The sequence below is a fragment of the Homo sapiens genome, chromosome 8 (genome assembly GCF_000001405.40).
Source record: "Homo sapiens chromosome 8, GRCh38.p14 Primary Assembly".
In the NCBI taxonomy this organism is placed as follows: domain Eukaryota; kingdom Metazoa; phylum Chordata; class Mammalia; order Primates; family Hominidae; genus Homo; species Homo sapiens.
Window position 1 is genome coordinate 129,925,108 of NC_000008.11, and position 17,841 is coordinate 129,942,948.

A 17,841-nucleotide genomic window follows, 5' to 3' on the forward strand; every position below is an offset into this window, starting at 1 on the left:
AATGTTTAGGCCGGGAGCGATGGCTCATAGCTGTAATCCCAGCACTTTGGGAGGCCGAGGAAGATGGATCACGTGAGGTCAGGAGTTCTAGACCAGCCTGGCCAACATGGTGAAACCCCGCCTCTACTAAAAATACAAAAATTAGCCGGGCATGGTGGTGTGTACCTGTAGTCTCAGCCACTCAGGAGGCTGAGGCACGAGAATTGCTTGAACCAGGGAGGTTGCAGTGAGCCAAGGTCATGCCACTGCAGTCCAGCCTGGGTGACAGAGCGAGACTCCGTCTTAAAAAATAATAATAATAATGATGACAATAAAGTTTAAAGCTGATTCTGTTCAGGAATGCTTTCAGGGGTTCCTTGAAAGTTGGGAGCTCTCACTCCAATTCCTGTAATGCATCTCCTCTGGGAATCCAGCCTCCATCCTGTCCCCCTTATACCTACTCTTTTGGGTTTTCCCTCATGTGGTCTCACTTCTCTCAGGTGGCCCTCATGTGATCTATGGGAAACACAGATCTCTTAGTCCAAAAAACTTTGGGAGCACTGGCAGTCCATCTACACAGCAACCTTGCTTTCTTTTGCTGTGCTGCCAAAGCAGATAGTCTCTCTTTCACCCCTGAAAATTTCCAGGTATGAGTTAGACAGACATCAATTTACTGTGTCCACCAAATTGCAGGAGTTACACATTAAGTTCCCCAAGTGGTCACTATAAAGCCCTTCTATCTTTACTGGAGGGGGAGTACTCCCCATCCCTCCAACAAAGACAGAGGAAAGAGGTTAGGAAAGACTCCTAGAATACCAACAACTGGGTTAAAAAACGTTTCCAATTTCTAACAACACGTGTCAAAAACTCTTTTCCAACTTCCAACTTTCTGAATGAAACCTTTTACAACAACAGATGGATACATATTAGAAGTCACGATCCATTTTCTGGCTCTCTTTTGAACACCCACATGGTGTCCTTAAAACTCACTTTAGAAATATGCATCTGTTGACTTAGGGTCAAACTCAGAATACAAGAGTTCCACCCATTTTAGCACCTTATTTCGTATTCTGTATTTTCTAAATTTTCCATGAAAAGCAGGAATAAAATAAAAATCCACAACCTTACCACTCAGCCACGGTTAACACTGTCCCTTTATGCCACTTAAAAATGTAAGTTTATATTTTTTAAAACCTTGTACAATAACACTTCATTTATATAATTTCATTAAGCAATCCAGTTTATCACCCAATTTAAACACATTACCTTTTTCAAGCATCAAATTTCCACTGAACTAGTGTGCTGCTCTTTCTAAAATGTGTCTCACTGTGCCACTCTGAAGTCCAAACCCTTTAATGGCTCCCTACCAGAGATTAAACTTCAGTCTTTTAAATAGTGTAATCTACAGTCTCCTAGAGCTGTTACATCTCTAAATATGATTTTGAACCATGTATGCACCATATAAAATCATACTACAAGAAAAATGCAGGTGTCAGAGGAGTTCCTAATAATGGGATGTGATCTACACTAGCGGAGAGAAACATTTCAGAATTTGCGAATTCAACCTTGTAACCCCTCAATGAAGCTGGATCCTGAGATATTTTCAACAGGAACTGGGACCAAATTCTGAAATGCAAAAGAACAAAGGTGGCTATTTCTTTATTAGCATGATAAAACTAAGCTTGCAGTGGGGATCAGTCCTCACATGATTGCAAATAAAATTCTGTATCACTACACATATATCTACTGGCTCCACACTCATTATCACCAACTGCCAAAAAGTTAATCTAATACTCAAGAGCAGATTTATAAAAACTTTAAATGCCTAAAACTGGATTTGGGAATTAATTTTGTTGTAAGTTCTACACATAATGTGCTGCATTCATAGAGCACACATTTAAAAAATTGTCTTAGAGTCAAGTGGAGTGGCTCATGCCTGTAATCCCAGCACTTTGGGAGGCCGAGGTGGGCAGATCACTTGAGATCAGGAGTTTGAGACCAGGCTAGCCAACATGGTAAAACCCTGTCTCTACTAAAAATACACACACAAAAAAAAATAGCCAAGTATGGTGGTGCGTGCCTGTAATCCCAGCTACTTGGGAGGCTGAGGCAGGAGAATCGCTTGAACCCAGGAGGCGAAGGTTGCAATGAGCCGAGATTGCGCCACTGCACTCCAGCCTGGGCGACAGTGAGACTCTGTCTCCACAAGAAAAAAAAAGTTTTAAAGTCATCTTTTACCAGATGAAGTGAGAAGTAAATTCCATTTAAACATGCTACCAAGAAAAATGCACTCATAGTTCTTAGCTCAAAGAGGCTTCGGTCTGCTAAGAAGTTTAAGTCAGTAAAAATGCACAAAATTACAAAAGTCCCTGCAGAAAGAAAAATAATCAGTTCTCTCTTAAAGCTGACAATAAATGTATTCACTCAAAAAAGTACACAAGAACAATGAGCGTAGGCAAATACGGATATGTCTCTATGAATAAATGTGGAGAGTATGTGTGTGTAGTCATCTAACATATATATATGCATAAAGATGGCTGGAAAGATGGTCACCAAAACAGCGACTACCTAGGTGGTGATTTTTGCTTTTTTCTTTTACTACTCTATATTGTTTCAATTTTTTTATAAATATGAGCATGTATGTTTACAAGAATTTTCATTATTAAAATACAGTATGAAAGCTACAGTAATCAAGCCATGTGGTACTAGCAGAATGATAGATCAATGAAACAGAAATAAAAGTCTATAGAAAAACCCAAACATTTGTGGTCAACTGATTACCAACAAAGACATCAAGGCAATTCAGTAGAGGAAAGGATAGTCTTTTCAAAAATGGTTCGGAGACTACCGGAAATCCACAGGCAAAAAGTTGAACTTAGTAACTTACACCATAAAGTTAACAAAAATGGATCATAGACCTAAATGCAAGGACCAAAACTAGAAACCTTTTAGAAGAAAACACAAGAGTAAATCTCATAATCTTTGGTGAGGCAAAGATTTCTTAGATATGACACACACTGCACCATTCTTAACAGCAAAAAAAAAAAAAAGTTAAACTAGACTCTACCAAGTGAAAATGCTTACACCTCAAAAGACACCGTTAACAGCCAAGTGTGGTGGCACACGTCTGTAGCATCAGTTATTAAGGAGGCAGAGGCAGGAGGATTACTTGAGCCCTGAGTTTGAGTCTAGCCTGGGCAACACAGCAAGACCTCGACTCTGAACCCCATCTCTTAAGAAAAAAAAAAAAAAAACACCATTAAGAAAAGGACAAGTCACAGATTGAGAGAAAATATTTGCACATAATGTATCTGACAAAGGACCTGGATACAAAATATATAAAGAACTCTTACAACTCTGTAAGAAGACAACCCAATTAAAAATGGGCAAAAAGACCTGACAGACATTTCACCGAAACAGATGGAAAAAATGGCTTGGTGCTGCATGCCTGTAGTCCCAGCCCTTTGGGAGGCTGAAGCAGGAGGATCGCTTGAGCCCAGGAGTTCTAGGCTGCAGTAAGGTGTGATTATGCCACTATACTCCAGCCTGAGTGACAAAGTAAAATCCTTTCTTTAAAAAAAAAAAAGAAAAAAGAAAAGAAAAGAAGAAAATGGCTTGAAAAGATGCTCAACATCATTAGTGATTAGGGAAACTCAAACCACAATGTATACTACCTCCCACCCAGTAGAATAATTATAATCAAAAAGATAATGACAAGTGTTGGGAAGATTCAGAGAAACTGAAATCCTCATACACTACTGGTAGGACATAAAATAGCACTGACAGTCTGGTTTTGGCAGTTTCTTTAAAAATTATATAAGTTTTCCATATGACCCAATAATTCTATTCCTAGGCATCTATGCAAAAGAAAACATATGTCCACACATATCTGCATACAAATGTTCACAGCAGCATTATTTATAACAGCCAAAAACTGTGAACCATCCAAACACCCATCAACTGGTAATGAATAAACAAAATGTGGCATATCCACAGAATGGAATATTACTCAACAATAGAAAGGAACAAATTACTGATACACTCAACATGCATGAACCACAAATTAAATGAAAGAAGCCAGACATAAAAGATACTGTATGTTCCATTCATAAGAAATGTCCAGGAAAGAATAATCAAGCAAAAGTGAGAGAGTGAGGGAGAGAGTGTGAGAAGGAAAGAGGGAGACACGGGGAGAAGAGAGAGAGGGAGAGGGAGAGGGAGAGGAAGGGAAGGGCAGTGTGTAAGAGCTAGAAGATAGGAAAGTGGATGCCTGGGGCAGGGGGTAGTATGGAAGATGAATACGATTTCAAGGGATCTTACTGGGTTAACAGACAACATCCTAGACTATGGTAATGGTTGCAAAGCTGAATAAACTAACTAATAATCAGTGAATTGTGCATTTGAAATAGATGAATTTTATAGTGTATAAAGTATACCTCAATAAAATTGTTTTTAAAAAGATGGTGAAAAAAACTTAGTATATAATTATGTTTACTGAAGGAATGATTAGGTTTTTCTAGATGCCAAAGCCAAAAACCAGTGAGAAAACAAAACATTTTAAATGAAAACATAAATTAAAATAGCATACCAAAATGGCGTACATACCACTTATCCCCATTATATAAGTGATTTTCACTTTCTGCCTTTTAGTGGAATACTTCTAAGGGTCATGATTAGGTACAGGAATTTGCTACAAGACTTTATGTGCAATGTAACCTGGATACAGTGGCTAAAACTACCTGGAATAAATTGTTTTAGGGTACCGGTACCTGTTTAGCCCTACTTTATGACTTAGGACAGTTTCTATAATACAGTTAACCAGTTATGCGTTTAAAAACAAAACTGGCGAGGTGCGGTGGCTCATGCGTGCAATCCCAGCACTTTGGGAGGCTAAGGCAGGTAGATCACAAGGTCAGGAGTTCGAGACCAGCCTGACCAACATGGTGAAACCCCATCTCTACTAAAAATACAAAAATTCGCCGGGCGTGGTGGCGCATGCCTGTAATCCCAGCTACTCAGGAAGCTGAGGCAGGAGAATCACTTGAACCCGGGAGGCGGAGCTTGCAGTGAGCCGAGATCGCACCACTGCACTCCAGCCTGAGTGACAGAGCGAGACTCTGTCTCAAAAAAAACAAACAAACAAATAAAACTGTTCATTCATCTCTTACTTATGAGACCCTAACAAGATCCTAGAAGGGATCTGAGAGACAAGGGGCAGTAAAAGAATTTCACAAAAAGTTCCACTTGCAGACCTCAACTAGGAAGAATTGTGAAGTGCTTATATATATATATATTTTAATTATTTAAATCCATAGGCTACCCTCCTACCCAAACTAGGCATACTGAAAATGGTTTAAAAACTTTAGTTTTAATAAAACACTGTTTTTAAAAGTTGCTTATAAGGCATGAACAATGAAAATCTGCTAAAACTAAGTTCTTAAAAGACACACATTTAAAATGTTAATAGACTACTAAGAGGTCAGTGCCACATACCAAAGACTGAACACTAGCCAGTTGTCACCATCGCACATACCATAATGGAACTTTGGCAACCCATTTCAAAAGGTTGCCAACCAGGCTACATATTTTGACTACTGCTTCAACATACTGTTCTATAAATAAAAAGACAGAGCTTTAGTTTAACTATATTCACATTTTAATACAGGCAGTTCCAAATATCAAAAAGACTTTCCAAAATGCTTCATCCCTCATTTTCAGGGATCCACCTGCTTTTACCCACTGGCAACTGAGAACTAGCTCCACAGCAAGAAGACTGTTTTAAGTTTCCAAGTCTCTAAATTCACGTATGCTTTAACCCAAATGAATGGAATAAATGAAGTTGACTTCTCCATACTTTTGAAAAAAACTCGGTAAATATATTTACTAAATACCAGGACACATTTAGTATCTAACATTTAAATAAAAATAAATTCAAATATAACAAATAATATTCAGCAAGTTAGCTTTCAAAATAACATTTTTACAAGACTTGTTTACAGAAAATAACTGGAAGGGAGGATAATTTATAAGATGCTAATAAATAAAATGGAGCCCTACTCCCCTAAAAAAAAAAAGAAAGAAAGAAAAATTGTGAATTTGAACATTCCCTTCACTAACTATGCTAGCCTCTCATTTACCTAAATCTACACATATAAAGGGAAAGAAGCCTCCCTGAAAATGTTCTTAATTTACATCATTTAGTTTGTTGGAATTTGCCAGAATTTAAAGTAGAGAACTGTGGTTTGATATAAAGAAAGCAAACTAATCTCACACCTTGCATCCCAAGATGGTTTTCTCATATTTCACTTAAATTCAATGTCCTTGAAATTCTTAAAACCCTGTAATCTCTTTCAAATTGAAAGACGTATGAACATGTCAGTCATTACTTTTTGAGTAAATGTTATTAAAGTGACCAACTCATCTTTGAGAAAATTAATCTCAAATTTCCACCAAGGTCATTACATATAACTTTGCCCTCAAAAACAGATTAAAAAATGAACAGCACCAATAATAATAATATGTGTCGTGTTCTTATCACATGCCAGGAACTTTTTTTTTGAGACAGAGTCTCCCTCTGTCACCCAGGCTAGAATGCAGTGGCATGATCTTGGCTCACTGCAACCTCCACCTCCCAGATTCCAGTGATTCTTTTGCCTCAGCCTCCCAAGTAGCTGGGATTACAGGCGTGCACCACCACACCCAGCTAATCTTTGTATTTTAAGTAGAGACGAGGTTTCACCATGTCAACCAGGCTGGTCACAAACTCCTGGCCTCAAGTGATTTGTCCACCTCAGCCTCCCAAATTGCTGGGATTGCAGGCGTGAGTCAGTATGCCTGGCACTTCTTTAAATGTCAGATTTAATGAGGTATAATTTATATATGTTAGGAAATAATTCTTCATAAGTATCTTCTTTTTTTTTTTTTTTTTTGAGATGGAGTTTCACTCTGGTTGCCCAGGCTGGAGTGCAGTGGCGCAATCTCGGCTCACCGCAACCTCCACCTCCCAGGTTCAAGCGATTCTCCTGCCTCAGCCTCCTGAGTAGCTGGGATTACAGGTGCTCACCACTTCGCCCAGCTAATTTTTTGCATTTTCAGTAGAGACAGGGTTTCACCATGTTGGGTAGGCTGCTTCATAGGTATCTCTTTTGCATACAGTACAAGCAGAGGTACCAGCTGCCCTTTGCTCTAGAGAGTATCTTTTCAAGAATGTTTGTAGAGTGAACAGTCTTGAGAAATAAAGATAGTATCTCCTTCTGGAGCAAAGGACAAGCATGCTTACTGTCTGTTCAGTATAATAAATATAATGTATTCCTCCAGAGCAAAGGGCAGGCGTGCTTATTGCTCATTAGAAAAGATCTGGGTTCCCTTAACTCAGGGCTTCTCTCCAGTAAGAAAGCCCACTGGGTGTACAAGTACTACCTGGTCCTCTTCACATCATCCTGTAGACTGAGGCTCAGAAAACCAGTGCAAATGCTGATACTCTGGCTACTACTATTATAGAGAATAATAATCTGCCCTTGATCTTTAACACAGGAGTTTCATGTCTTCTACCAGATTCCATGAAAATATGGCAGGATAATTTATTAGCTTGCAAGTAGGATAAAATCTCAGACCATCATGGTTCTTGACAGTTCTGGGGAAAGAGGATGGGATGCTGACATAGCCATAACTCTCTAAGGGAAAGGATAAAGGCCCTGCAGACTGAGTTCTGGGACAAGGGAAGATACCCTGGAATCTGAGAGTGATCCTAGTGGTGGATGGGAAGAAGGTGGGAATAAAGACTCCCCCACCTGTTTACCTGTTAATGAACAGGGTGGAATTAATGTTTAGAAACTGAGCAGTGAGAAGTGAGGCTGAAATTAGCCACCCAAATGGTGGGTTGGTAGTTGTTCACTATCCTCTGGGCTGGTGGAAGGAGGGGAGTATCATAACAATAAGGGCAACAAGCCCCATGGTCCCACATGAAAGGCTGTGGCTGTGACTGCTGAGCCAAGGAATCCCCTAAACTAAAAGAAATGGTGTAAGTAATGATGACCTTGCTGCCAACTACAGAGCTTCAAGTAGACCAGAAACATTAAACTGCGAGAGAATGACCCAAAGTGAATATAAAGCCTTGATTACCAGCACCAAGTTGCTCTCTCCCCCTCCACACTCCCTGATCCCTCTCTGCTCCTACCCCCAAACTCTTCTGCTTTAATGAGCAAGATGGTTAGGAATGGGGCTGAGGTCTCCCTGATCCCCAAGATGGACTGAAGGCCAGACATACTAGGAGGTTTGCCCAGAGAAGTTCAGGGAGAGACTCAAAATTTTATGGTTCTCTTGGAAATAGGCACCCAGGTAACCATTCTATCTAGTCCTGTCAGGCAGACACCCAGATTAAGCTAATAGGGTCTGGACAGGGTTTACAGGGGTTAGGAAAATAAATGTGACTTATGGGTGGGATGTTTTGGACCAATTCAATGTGCTTATTGTTGCCTCTACATCATAATGTATAGTAAGAACTGATAAGCCGGGTGCGGTGGCTCGCGCACCTGTGATCCCAGCACTTTGGGAGGCCGAGGCGGGCTGATCACTTGAGGTCAGAAGTTCTGAGACCTGACCAACCTGATGAAACCCTGTCTCTAGTGAAAATATAAAATTAGCTGGGCATGGTGGCACGCATCTGTAGTCCCAGCTACTCAGGAGGCTGAGGTAGGAGAATCACTTGAACCCAGGAGGCGGAGGTTGTAGTGAGCCAAGATTGCGTCATTGCACTCCGGCCTGGGTGACAGGGTGACAGAGTAAGACTCTGTCACACACACAAAAAAAAAAAGAAGAAGAAGAAGAAGAAGAAGAACCTGATGTGTTTTGTGCTTGTACTTAAAAGACTCACTTAAGAGCTAGTGAGGGTTTTTCCAATCAGAAAGGGCTGTATGTATAAAAGTGTACTAGTACCTTTGGGGCCCCACAACCTTAAGGATCACTTTGAGCCATAAAGTCTCATGATTTCACTGATTAGAGGATTTGACAAAAGGAGGCAGCCTCCACCTACAGGTGCCCCTTGGGGTTTTGAACGCTTTACCTCCCTGACACAGCAATCAAGTTTACGCCTTCTGAAAAGCAGCTATTAGCTTGCTTCTGGATTCCAGTGGAAATTGAATGCCTAACTCATGGAGGCCTCACGAGTCTCCAGCCTGATGTTCCTATTTCGAGGTGGGTCAGCTTACACTCAATGACTAACAATGCGGTAAATCAATGGAAAATGCTTATGTGAAACACACCTGGCTTAGTCTTAGCCCCAAGAAGGATCTCAACTTTACATGAAAAAGGGCTGGCATAAATCTTAAATTATAATATCACATTATGATATGTCATATCATGATAGGTCATAATATATATTATGATACATTATGTCATATTGCGGCAGGCCAGGTCTCACTAATGCAGGCCTCCACAACAACTGTTTCAGTACTGAGTGGTTAAATTAAATATTAAAAGCCAGTGCCCTTAAACAAAGCCTGGGATTAACAAAAGCCCATCATGAGTTTTGCCTAGGCCTTTCCTAGGCCTTAAAGCATGACAAAATAATGAAGGAATTCTTAAGAGGACCCATTTAGGATTAAACAAGTTTTATTATGGGTCTGAAGAAACTCCCTAGGCCTCCACTAACAAGTTTACTGGGGGTCCGAAGGAATTCCCCAAACCTTCATGATTTTGCAGGAGACAACATAAGGGTAATCACCCCCAGCAACTGGACCCGTTTAGATTAAGTAAATTTACTGAGGGTCTGGAGGAGGCTCTTCAGGACTTAGACCTTAGTTATAGATTAAAAGAAGTTAATCACTTATGTATTTAGATGAATGCACACTTACGCATAGACATATAGCTTAGAAGGCATATAAGCTCTGGAAAACTTTGTAATTTTGAGTTGGTCTGGCAATAATTTCCAGGCCTTCTCCCTATAACTGGTTGCAGAAAATAAAAACTCTCTTCCTCTCCAGTTCACCTGCATCTCGTTATTGGGCCACGAGAAATAGAGTGATCCTCACTTTGGTCCGAGAACAGTATGACATATTACGTCACATTATGACATCCGGGACTATGTCATAATTTCTTTCTTAGCAAGTGTTTTCTGAAAATGCTTGACCTAAAGTAGTATTCAGGTTAATTTGGATTATCTGAAGACATACCAATGTATGATTGGAAGGAATAAATATTCTAGATCAATGGTCCCCAATCTTTTTGGGACCAGGAAATGGTTTTGTGGAAGACAATTTTTCCACGGACAGGGCGACAGGGGGAATGGTTTCAGGATGAAACTGTTCCACCTCAGATCACCAAGCGTTAGATTCTCACATGGAGCACAAAACCTGGATGCCTCTAATGCACAATTCACAACAAGGTTCATGCTACTATGAGAATCTAATGCTATCTCCGCTGATCTAACAGGAGGCAGACCTCAGGGAGTAATGCCGCTCACCTCCTGTGGTGCAGTCCAGTTCCAAACAGGCCACGGCCCAGGGGTTGGGGACCCCTGCTCTAGACACAGTAGAAAGGGTCTGTATCAATCTAGAATTTAATATATATCATACATAATGCATCAACTAAAATATACCAAGAAGAGATTACTGCATTAGCAGAAAATAACTGTACAGGACTCAGGCTTCACAGTGTCACATACAATAGTACCTTAATGTTGATGATCAATCTTTTCAAAATGAATAGCTACAAAAATATATCTCTGCATTAAGTCTTCTACTTCAACAAAATCACACAATATCTTTGAAAGTAGTCATTCTGACCCATGGTACCATTATCGAGATGTGAAGGTGTGTTGCAAGAAATGTTTATATTTAAATAATCAAAATTCTAAGAATGATTTCTTTGTTTAAAAAGTTTACAAATGTGACTCATTTGCATTCTAATTACTTGCATAAGTGGGAAAGGGGTGAAGCTATAGCTGTCAATCCTGTATATGCTTACAGGAGAGTACAGAACAAGTGAACATTATCCATCCTCCTTGGCAGCTGAAAAAGAAAAAGTTTTGAGATTTGCTGTTTTAAGTATGTTTTACAAATACTTAATATAAAATATAAGACCTCAAATTAGTAGGTTGAAATAGAATTTAAGTAAACGTGATGGGTTCAAATGCCAGTCTTCAACGTCTCCCACTTGGGAGTATACTTGAACAAGTATACCTAATTGGAAATATTTAATTATGATTAATGGCATACCTAAGGTCTCTGAGCCTTACTTTCCTAATGTTAATTAGAAATTAAATAGAAGTTAACCTACACATTACAGAGTTGTTATAAAACTAACCTAATGGTTATAAGGAATCTGGCAAACAGTAGGTGTTCAATACTACAGCGTAATTAAGAGCCAGGATTTAGTGAACTGATCATAATATAGAATGAGTTCACACATCCAAGAACATTTATGTATAATTGTAGAAACTCTAAATGCCCAATAAATTATTTGAATTCACTGTTGTTCATGAATGCTGACAAGATACATATATCAAGTGCCCATTCTAAGCAAACAAATCCATTCTATGAACTAAAGTATAACACAAAATCATGTCTATACTTCCTCACCCAAAGATCTCAAAGCAAATTAGATAACCCAATATAGCAGTCTTTTTTTTTTTTTTTTTTTTGAGACGGAGTCTTGCTCTGTCGCCCAGGCTGGAGTGCAGTGGCGAGATCTTGGTTCACTGCAAGCTCCGCCTCCCGGGTTCATGCCATTCTCCTGCCTCGGCCTCCTGAGTAGCTGGGACTACAGGCGCCCACCACCACGCCCGGCTAATTTTTTTGTATTTTTGGTAGAGACGGGGTTTCACCATGTTAGCCAGGATGGTCTCGATCTCCTGACCTCGTGATCCGCCCGCCTCGGCCTCCCAAAGTGTTGGGATTACAGGCGTGAGCCACTGCGCCCAGCCAGCAGTCTTAAAAATATACAAGATACCTGAAAAAACTACAGCTCAGGGCAATCAACATCTTTATCAAAATTTTTTGCCACATAATTACAAAATGCTGTTACAGTCTAAGATTCTTTGACCTTGCCATTAACTCAATTGTTCAAAATATAATTATTGAGTATCCACTATGCACCAGGCAGGCACTGCGCTAAACTCTGGTGTAGTTACAGAAAAGAAGAGACCAAAAATAGGAGGTATGTCACAAAGCTATTTCCAACTATTATAGTCTTGTTTTCCTTAAACAATGTAAGAGAAAATTGTAGGTTCTCACAGTTGAATGCATTAATACTTAGAAAGAGTCAAGTAACCTCAAATAAGTGACAATCCAGTATCTTCCCCCATGGAGACTAGGAGTAAAATAAGCACCCCTCTATACTTCTCCATCAATTGTTATTTACTATGTAAAGATAAATGACCATTTCAAATATCAGTCAAATAATCTCAAGAGGGACACTAATTTAACCTGTAAATTTTTAAAACCCGTTTATTCCTGGAGAGTTCAGAAAAATGAATTTTAAGTTCGATTAAGTTAAACGTCAATCAAAAATCTATCAAAAATAAACTGCATTCACTTAGTTTTACTCAACATCTGAAATTATACTTTTTCTGGGGCAGCTAGAATTAACTTACTAACCACGCCTCCCTCTGATCAACCAACCACTTTCTTGGGAGACAAAAATCTAGCCTCTACCCAATTATATAATCTAGAATTCATACTATATATCCTAGAACATTTTACAAAGCAAGAGTTCCCTGACAAACAGCTACATCACTATTAAAGTTTTAAAGAATTCTTAAACATTATTATCTAGCAAAACTGTTCTGCAAATACACATTCTCTCTCTCTCTCTCTCTCTCTCATGAGTTAGGAAATCTTACTACTGAAGTGGTTATCCAAAACCTAAGCGGGGACAAACAGCCAAGTACCTTTTTAACACCAAGCTCCCCAAAAACGAAGCTGTTAGAAAATGCTGCCATAAATACTTACAGCAATAGCACCATCATAATGATATGCAGGTAGGTGTACTTTAGGACTAAGAGCCTCTCGTTCGTTATTATGGATATGAAAGTCACATGAAAAAAAAAAGTGCTGTCATTTCATTTTATGAATGCTGATTAGGGAGTTTCAGTTAACTGCAACACTTTGCAAACAGGCTATCAAATAAACCCCAGTTATCAAGCAGTTCTAGACACAAAGCTTCTGTTTCTATTACTAAATACAATTAAAGAATTAAAAGGATCAGTGTGTTTTTCTTGAGGTATATTAGTCTAAAATAATTTGCGATAGTAAGTCACCAAACACCCGAGTGACTGAAATTCTTTTAGCTATATAAAACACTCCTTTGGAATGCCGATCTCCCACACCGTAAGACTTAAAACACACAAAATTCACTGACATACATTTTTCACATAGAGATTAAGGGGTAAAAAGGTGGCAAACTCAATACACTTACACAGAAGTAGCAAAAAACGTGTAAGCAAATTCCAAAAACCTTTGTCTTATCCAGAATGGCACTTTGTGGTACTCCAAGGATTCAGGCATTTCATCAGTATTCCGCACATAGGGGTACTCAAACAATGTTGCTGACAGATGAGACAACAAAGTCTCACCAACAAACATTTCTACAGCAATGTATTAACAGGTAATGTTGCAAATCAGTCAAGGGGCCAAGTGAGGAGGAATCCAGAGGAGTAGAAAGAATACTAATTTTCTGCCAAATTTTACACTCAGAGGAAATTAATCCATCATAGAAGTCTTCCATGAAAAAAATAAAAAAGGTACTCAGTATGACCCAGAATAGCCATGAGGTTAAAACACATACACACACACACACAGCAATTGCCACTTCCACTAGAGTTTGACAGTTATAGATTTGGGTAATTATAGTAGAAATTGCGCGTTTGGAAACACACTAAGACCACACCCTAAGACTGAGAATCTGGACTTTAAACGCTGATCATTAATTAAAAGGACAACGCAGTATCTAAGTTGGAAGATCTGGCCGCGCAGGTGGAAGGCGAAGTGATGGGGAGCGATAAAGACACCAACTTCAAAACCAGGGACCAGGAGGGCTGGGTGTCGAGGCGAGGCGAGGCGAAGCCCGGGGGATAAGGGGGTGTGGAGCTGGGGACGGGAACAGGGGATGAGGAGAAAAAGCGGCCGCGAAGAGGAAGGAGTGGTGGGAGCCAGGATTGGGGAGGGGGGACAACGCCGACACGGGAAGGGACGAGCCAACGAGCCAGGAGTCACTGGCGGGCGCAGGATCTGGGGTGGGAGGGGGCGGCGAGAGCGCGCGTGGAGGTGCCAATGGAAGGAAGGGGGCGGAAGAAAGGAAGACCCGAATGAATGAGCGCCGGGGGCAGGCCGGGGCCGCGGGGCCACAGAGGAAGCGGGCCCGGGGCGTCGCGGGGCCGGGGGCGGGCCCAGCGCGCCTGGAAAGGAGGAAGCCCCGCGCCAGCGCGGGCCCCGCCGCACCCGCCTCTTCGCCAAAATGGGGTCGCAGAGCAGGAAAGCTAGGAGTGTGAAGGAAGAGGGGAAAATGGCAAAAACCAATCACTCACCCTCCGCTCGAGCCTCCAGGCGCTCTCAGTCCCGCTCCTGCGCCCTCCTGGAGCCGCAGAGGCGGCTCCTCAGCGGCGCTAGGGGGAGCCCCGGGTCCGGAGCGGGGGAGCGGCGGCAGCCGGACCGGGAGCCCCTCAACACCTGCCCCTGTGGCAGAGCCGCGACAAGCCAGGCGGCAGCTCCGAGCGGGGAGGGCAAGTGACCCGGATGTACAGGGTAACGACGGGGAGGGGGAGGAGGGAATGCCAGGAAGTGAGGGCGCCGCGGACCTGTCCGGCCGTGCGCATGCGCCGCACGCCCGCCCCGCAAGGTAAATCCTTAGCCTATCTTCTCCGCCCCTCATCCCCGCCCCTCCCGAAGGGGCGGGGCGAAGCCAGAGACAGGTGGTCGGCGGGCGCGGCGTGCAGAGGAAGGAGGCGTGGCCACCCCCTTGCACCCCGGCCTCCTTAAAGGGGCAGCACCTTCGCAAATATCGCGCCGAGATAGCTTCTGAGTGGGTTGGGGTCTTCCAGCCTTCCAGATGTACAGATGGGAAACGGAGGTTCAGAGGTGGCGGTGACCTGCCTCTTGTCAGCGGGCTTGGAAATGGCAGGAACTGGACCTCGGGACTCGATGCTGAGCCCTGCGAAGTTGCCATATTCCCCCCACGCCTGGAACCGCTAGGCTGCGGGCGCGCCTCTCCCCTTTGGGTCAGGTACTGAGCCTCGCCCGCGATTCCCGGCGCGGCACGTGTTCCTGGCAGGCGCCCAGCGCCAGGAGACTGTACTGTTACCGCCTGCGATGGTATCGCGGAGACGCCCTTGGGTGGTGAAAAATGATCATTCTGAGAACAAAAATTAGACTCCACTTACAACACTCTCAGATATATCAGACCCCTGTTCTGGGGTCGACTCTGGGCAAAAATATCTAGTGGGCAGAAACTTGGATGTGACAGAGGGCACAGCCTCTTAATTACTTCCCTAATTCCCCTTTCACTCTTTGAACATAAATGATCCCTTTCCCTTTACAGACAAAAACAGAACATCCCATCTAGCTAGCTTCTCCTAATCCTGTTATAAAGCTGAATTTTTTTTTATTAACATTAAAGGGGAAAAGATGACAATGTTATCTCTCCCAGGGTTGTTTTCAGTTTGACAGCTGAGCAGATCACTAAGATGGAGGTAAATGATTATGAACATTTTGCAGTCACAGGCCCAACTGAAAATACTGTAACAGTATGGACTTTTCCCCCCGGGAAAATACAGACATGCACACACATTTGCATAAAATTTCAGGAGTTTCATGCAACCAGGGAGCCTATCCATGAAATCCTGATTATGAACGAAGCTCTAGTCAAAGAGCTAAGGTTCCGGTAACTATCTGCGCCTTACTCTATGGGGCCAAGAAATCACTCCTTGCCACAAAACACAGAAGGGCAGCCCTTACCTTAGCCTTTTTGTCTTCCTCTTGAGTTATGTAGAAACCAAATGGTATGTAACATGGTGGGCATATTACTTAGAAACGTGTTGAGTCATGGAGAGATGAAGTGGCTTTTTCAAGGCACACACTAAGGGCAACATTCCTAGGCCTCAGACTTTTACCTTAATTATCATACTTCAGGAGGATTCAGGGATTCTATATTGTAGCTATTATAATTCTGGTCAATTTCAATGAAACTGAAGGAGATTTTTTTTTTTTTTTTTTTGGTGATGGAGTCTCGCTGTCACCCAGGCTGGAGTACAGTGGCGCGATATCGGCTCACTGCAACTTCCACCTCCCAGGTTCAAGCGATTCTCCTGTCTCAGCCTCCCAAGTAGCTGGGATTACAGGTGCACACCACCATGCCTGGCTAATTTTTTGTATTTTAGTAGAGACGGGGTTTCACCATGTTGCCCAGGCTGCTCCCGAACTCCTGAGCTCAGGCAATCCACCTGCCTGAGCCTCCCAAAGTGCTAGGATTACAGGCGTGAGCCACCGCCCCCAGCTGGAGATGATGTTTTACAAATGTTGATGCTGATAGAAAAGTCCTCCTAATCCAAGAAGCTTGGTCCACTTGTCTGACATACTGACGTCCAACCTCAGATAACCTGGGTCCAGATGGATCACTGTCCTCAATGTGAACAGGAGGAGGAGTTCATACATGTGCAAAGTCCCTTAGATATGAGCTCTGAGTAACCACACACCTCTAACCCTATCTCCCACCAGAAGCAGAAATCTTTCATATTATCTTCAACACATGAATATCTAGTTCAGCTCCAATATCTCCAACTACAGGGAGCTCATTACTGCAATCATCAGCCTTTGATTGTGAGGAACCTCTTTTACACTAAGCAAAAATCTGATGCACAACAATTTTCATCCACTGGTCGTAATTTTCTCTATGGAGAGCAATATAGACATGACGCTGGCCTAGGGAGCTTACAGTCCAGCAAAGAAGCAGTCCACTGAGAAGTGATAATAATAAAATACTGGACCAGGTGCAGTGGCTCACACCTGTAATCCCAGCACTTTGGGAGGCTGAAGCAGGTGGATCACGAGGTTAGGAGTTCGAGACCAGCCAGGCCAACATGGTAAAACCCCATCTCTACTAAAAATACAAAAATTAGCTGGGCGTGGTGGCAGGCGCCTGTAATCCCAACTACTCAGGAGGCTGAGGCAGGAGAATCGCTTGAACCCAGGAGGTGAAGGTTGCAGTTAGCTGAGATCTTGCCTTTGCACTCCAGCCTGGATGACGAGCGAAACACGTCTCAAAAAATAATAATAATAACAAAATACAATGAGTCCTGTGAGGAACACGGAATACCCCTCTCACATGCACCTTTCTCCTTAGCTGCCCTGGGTCCATTCCTGCCATGTACAAGAACTCACAAGTAAGTTCTTCCATTACCCCACATGGGAATTCCCTAAAAGAGGGAGCTGGCTCAGAAAACAAGACTCCTATAAGAAGTGCTGAATTTATTCTTCTATAATCCTTTCTTCATCATTCTGCATGAATGTGATCATATTTTTGCCGAGGGCAAAGCTTTCAAAGACTTATGTTGAAAAATTGAACAAAAGGATGCAAAAAAAAAGGGCTTACATAAGAGCACTAGTCTCTTAATGATGATTTACGCATTGTGGCTAGCTGTATTTTGTGAGTCCTTACAATGTGCCAGGCACTGTACTAAGCTCTACGCTCTTGACTTGTTTTCTTCTTTTGCTTTTTCACAGCCATCCTATATGGTACTATTATCAGGCCCATTTTATAAATGAGGCAACCGAAACTCCGTATGTGACAGATGCAGGATTCAAACCCAATCTGTCAACTTCACAGCTTCTATGGACACTGCATTGTCTCTGTCTACTTTTTTAAATTTCACAA

General features: G+C 42.0%; 1 protein-coding gene across 82 annotated transcripts in view, besides 5 other annotated features; it reads right to left on the reverse strand.

Moving 5' to 3' along the window:
* Positions 1–17,841, reverse strand: part of CYRIB (CYFIP related Rac1 interactor B) — a 177,537-nt gene that overhangs the window by 85,515 nt on the left and 74,181 nt on the right. For 19 of the 82 annotated variants that reach the window (NM_001353266.2, NM_001353297.2, NM_001330612.2 and 16 more), the window contains exon 1: positions 14,501–14,704. The exons of the other annotated variants lie outside the window; for them this stretch is intronic. The gene's annotated coding sequence lies outside the window, so the exon portion shown is untranslated. Of the gene's footprint in view, positions 1–14,500; positions 14,705–17,841 lie in introns of those variants that run through there. 82 annotated transcript variants of the gene reach the window in all.
* Positions 8,956–9,250: a silencer, noted in NCBI's record as "tiled region #603; K562 Repressive non-DNase unmatched - State 18:Pol2". NCBI's record gives its function as "represses a minimal TATA promoter and a strong SV40 promoter by Sharpr-MPRA in K562 cells {active_cell/tissue: K562}" and the evidence as "EXISTENCE:reporter gene assay evidence [ECO:0000049][PMID:27701403]".
* Positions 8,956–9,564: a biological region, named in NCBI's record as "Sharpr-MPRA regulatory region 603".
* Positions 9,024–9,564: an enhancer, noted in NCBI's record as "NANOG hESC enhancer chr8:130946377-130946917 (GRCh37/hg19 assembly coordinates)". NCBI's record gives its function as "activates a minimal SCP1, AML or CMV promoter by ChIP-STARR-seq in primed H9 embryonic stem cells {active_cell/tissue: H9 hESC(primed)}" and the evidence as "EXISTENCE:reporter gene assay evidence [ECO:0000049][PMID:30033119]".
* Positions 14,232–14,731: a silencer, noted in NCBI's record as "silent region_19541". NCBI's record gives its function as "represses an Ori minimal core promoter by ATAC-STARR-seq in GM12878 lymphoblastoid cells {active_cell/tissue: GM12878}" and the evidence as "EXISTENCE:reporter gene assay evidence [ECO:0000049][PMID:35858748]".
* Positions 14,942–15,181: an enhancer, noted in NCBI's record as "active region_27973". NCBI's record gives its function as "activates an Ori minimal core promoter by ATAC-STARR-seq in GM12878 lymphoblastoid cells {active_cell/tissue: GM12878}" and the evidence as "EXISTENCE:reporter gene assay evidence [ECO:0000049][PMID:35858748]".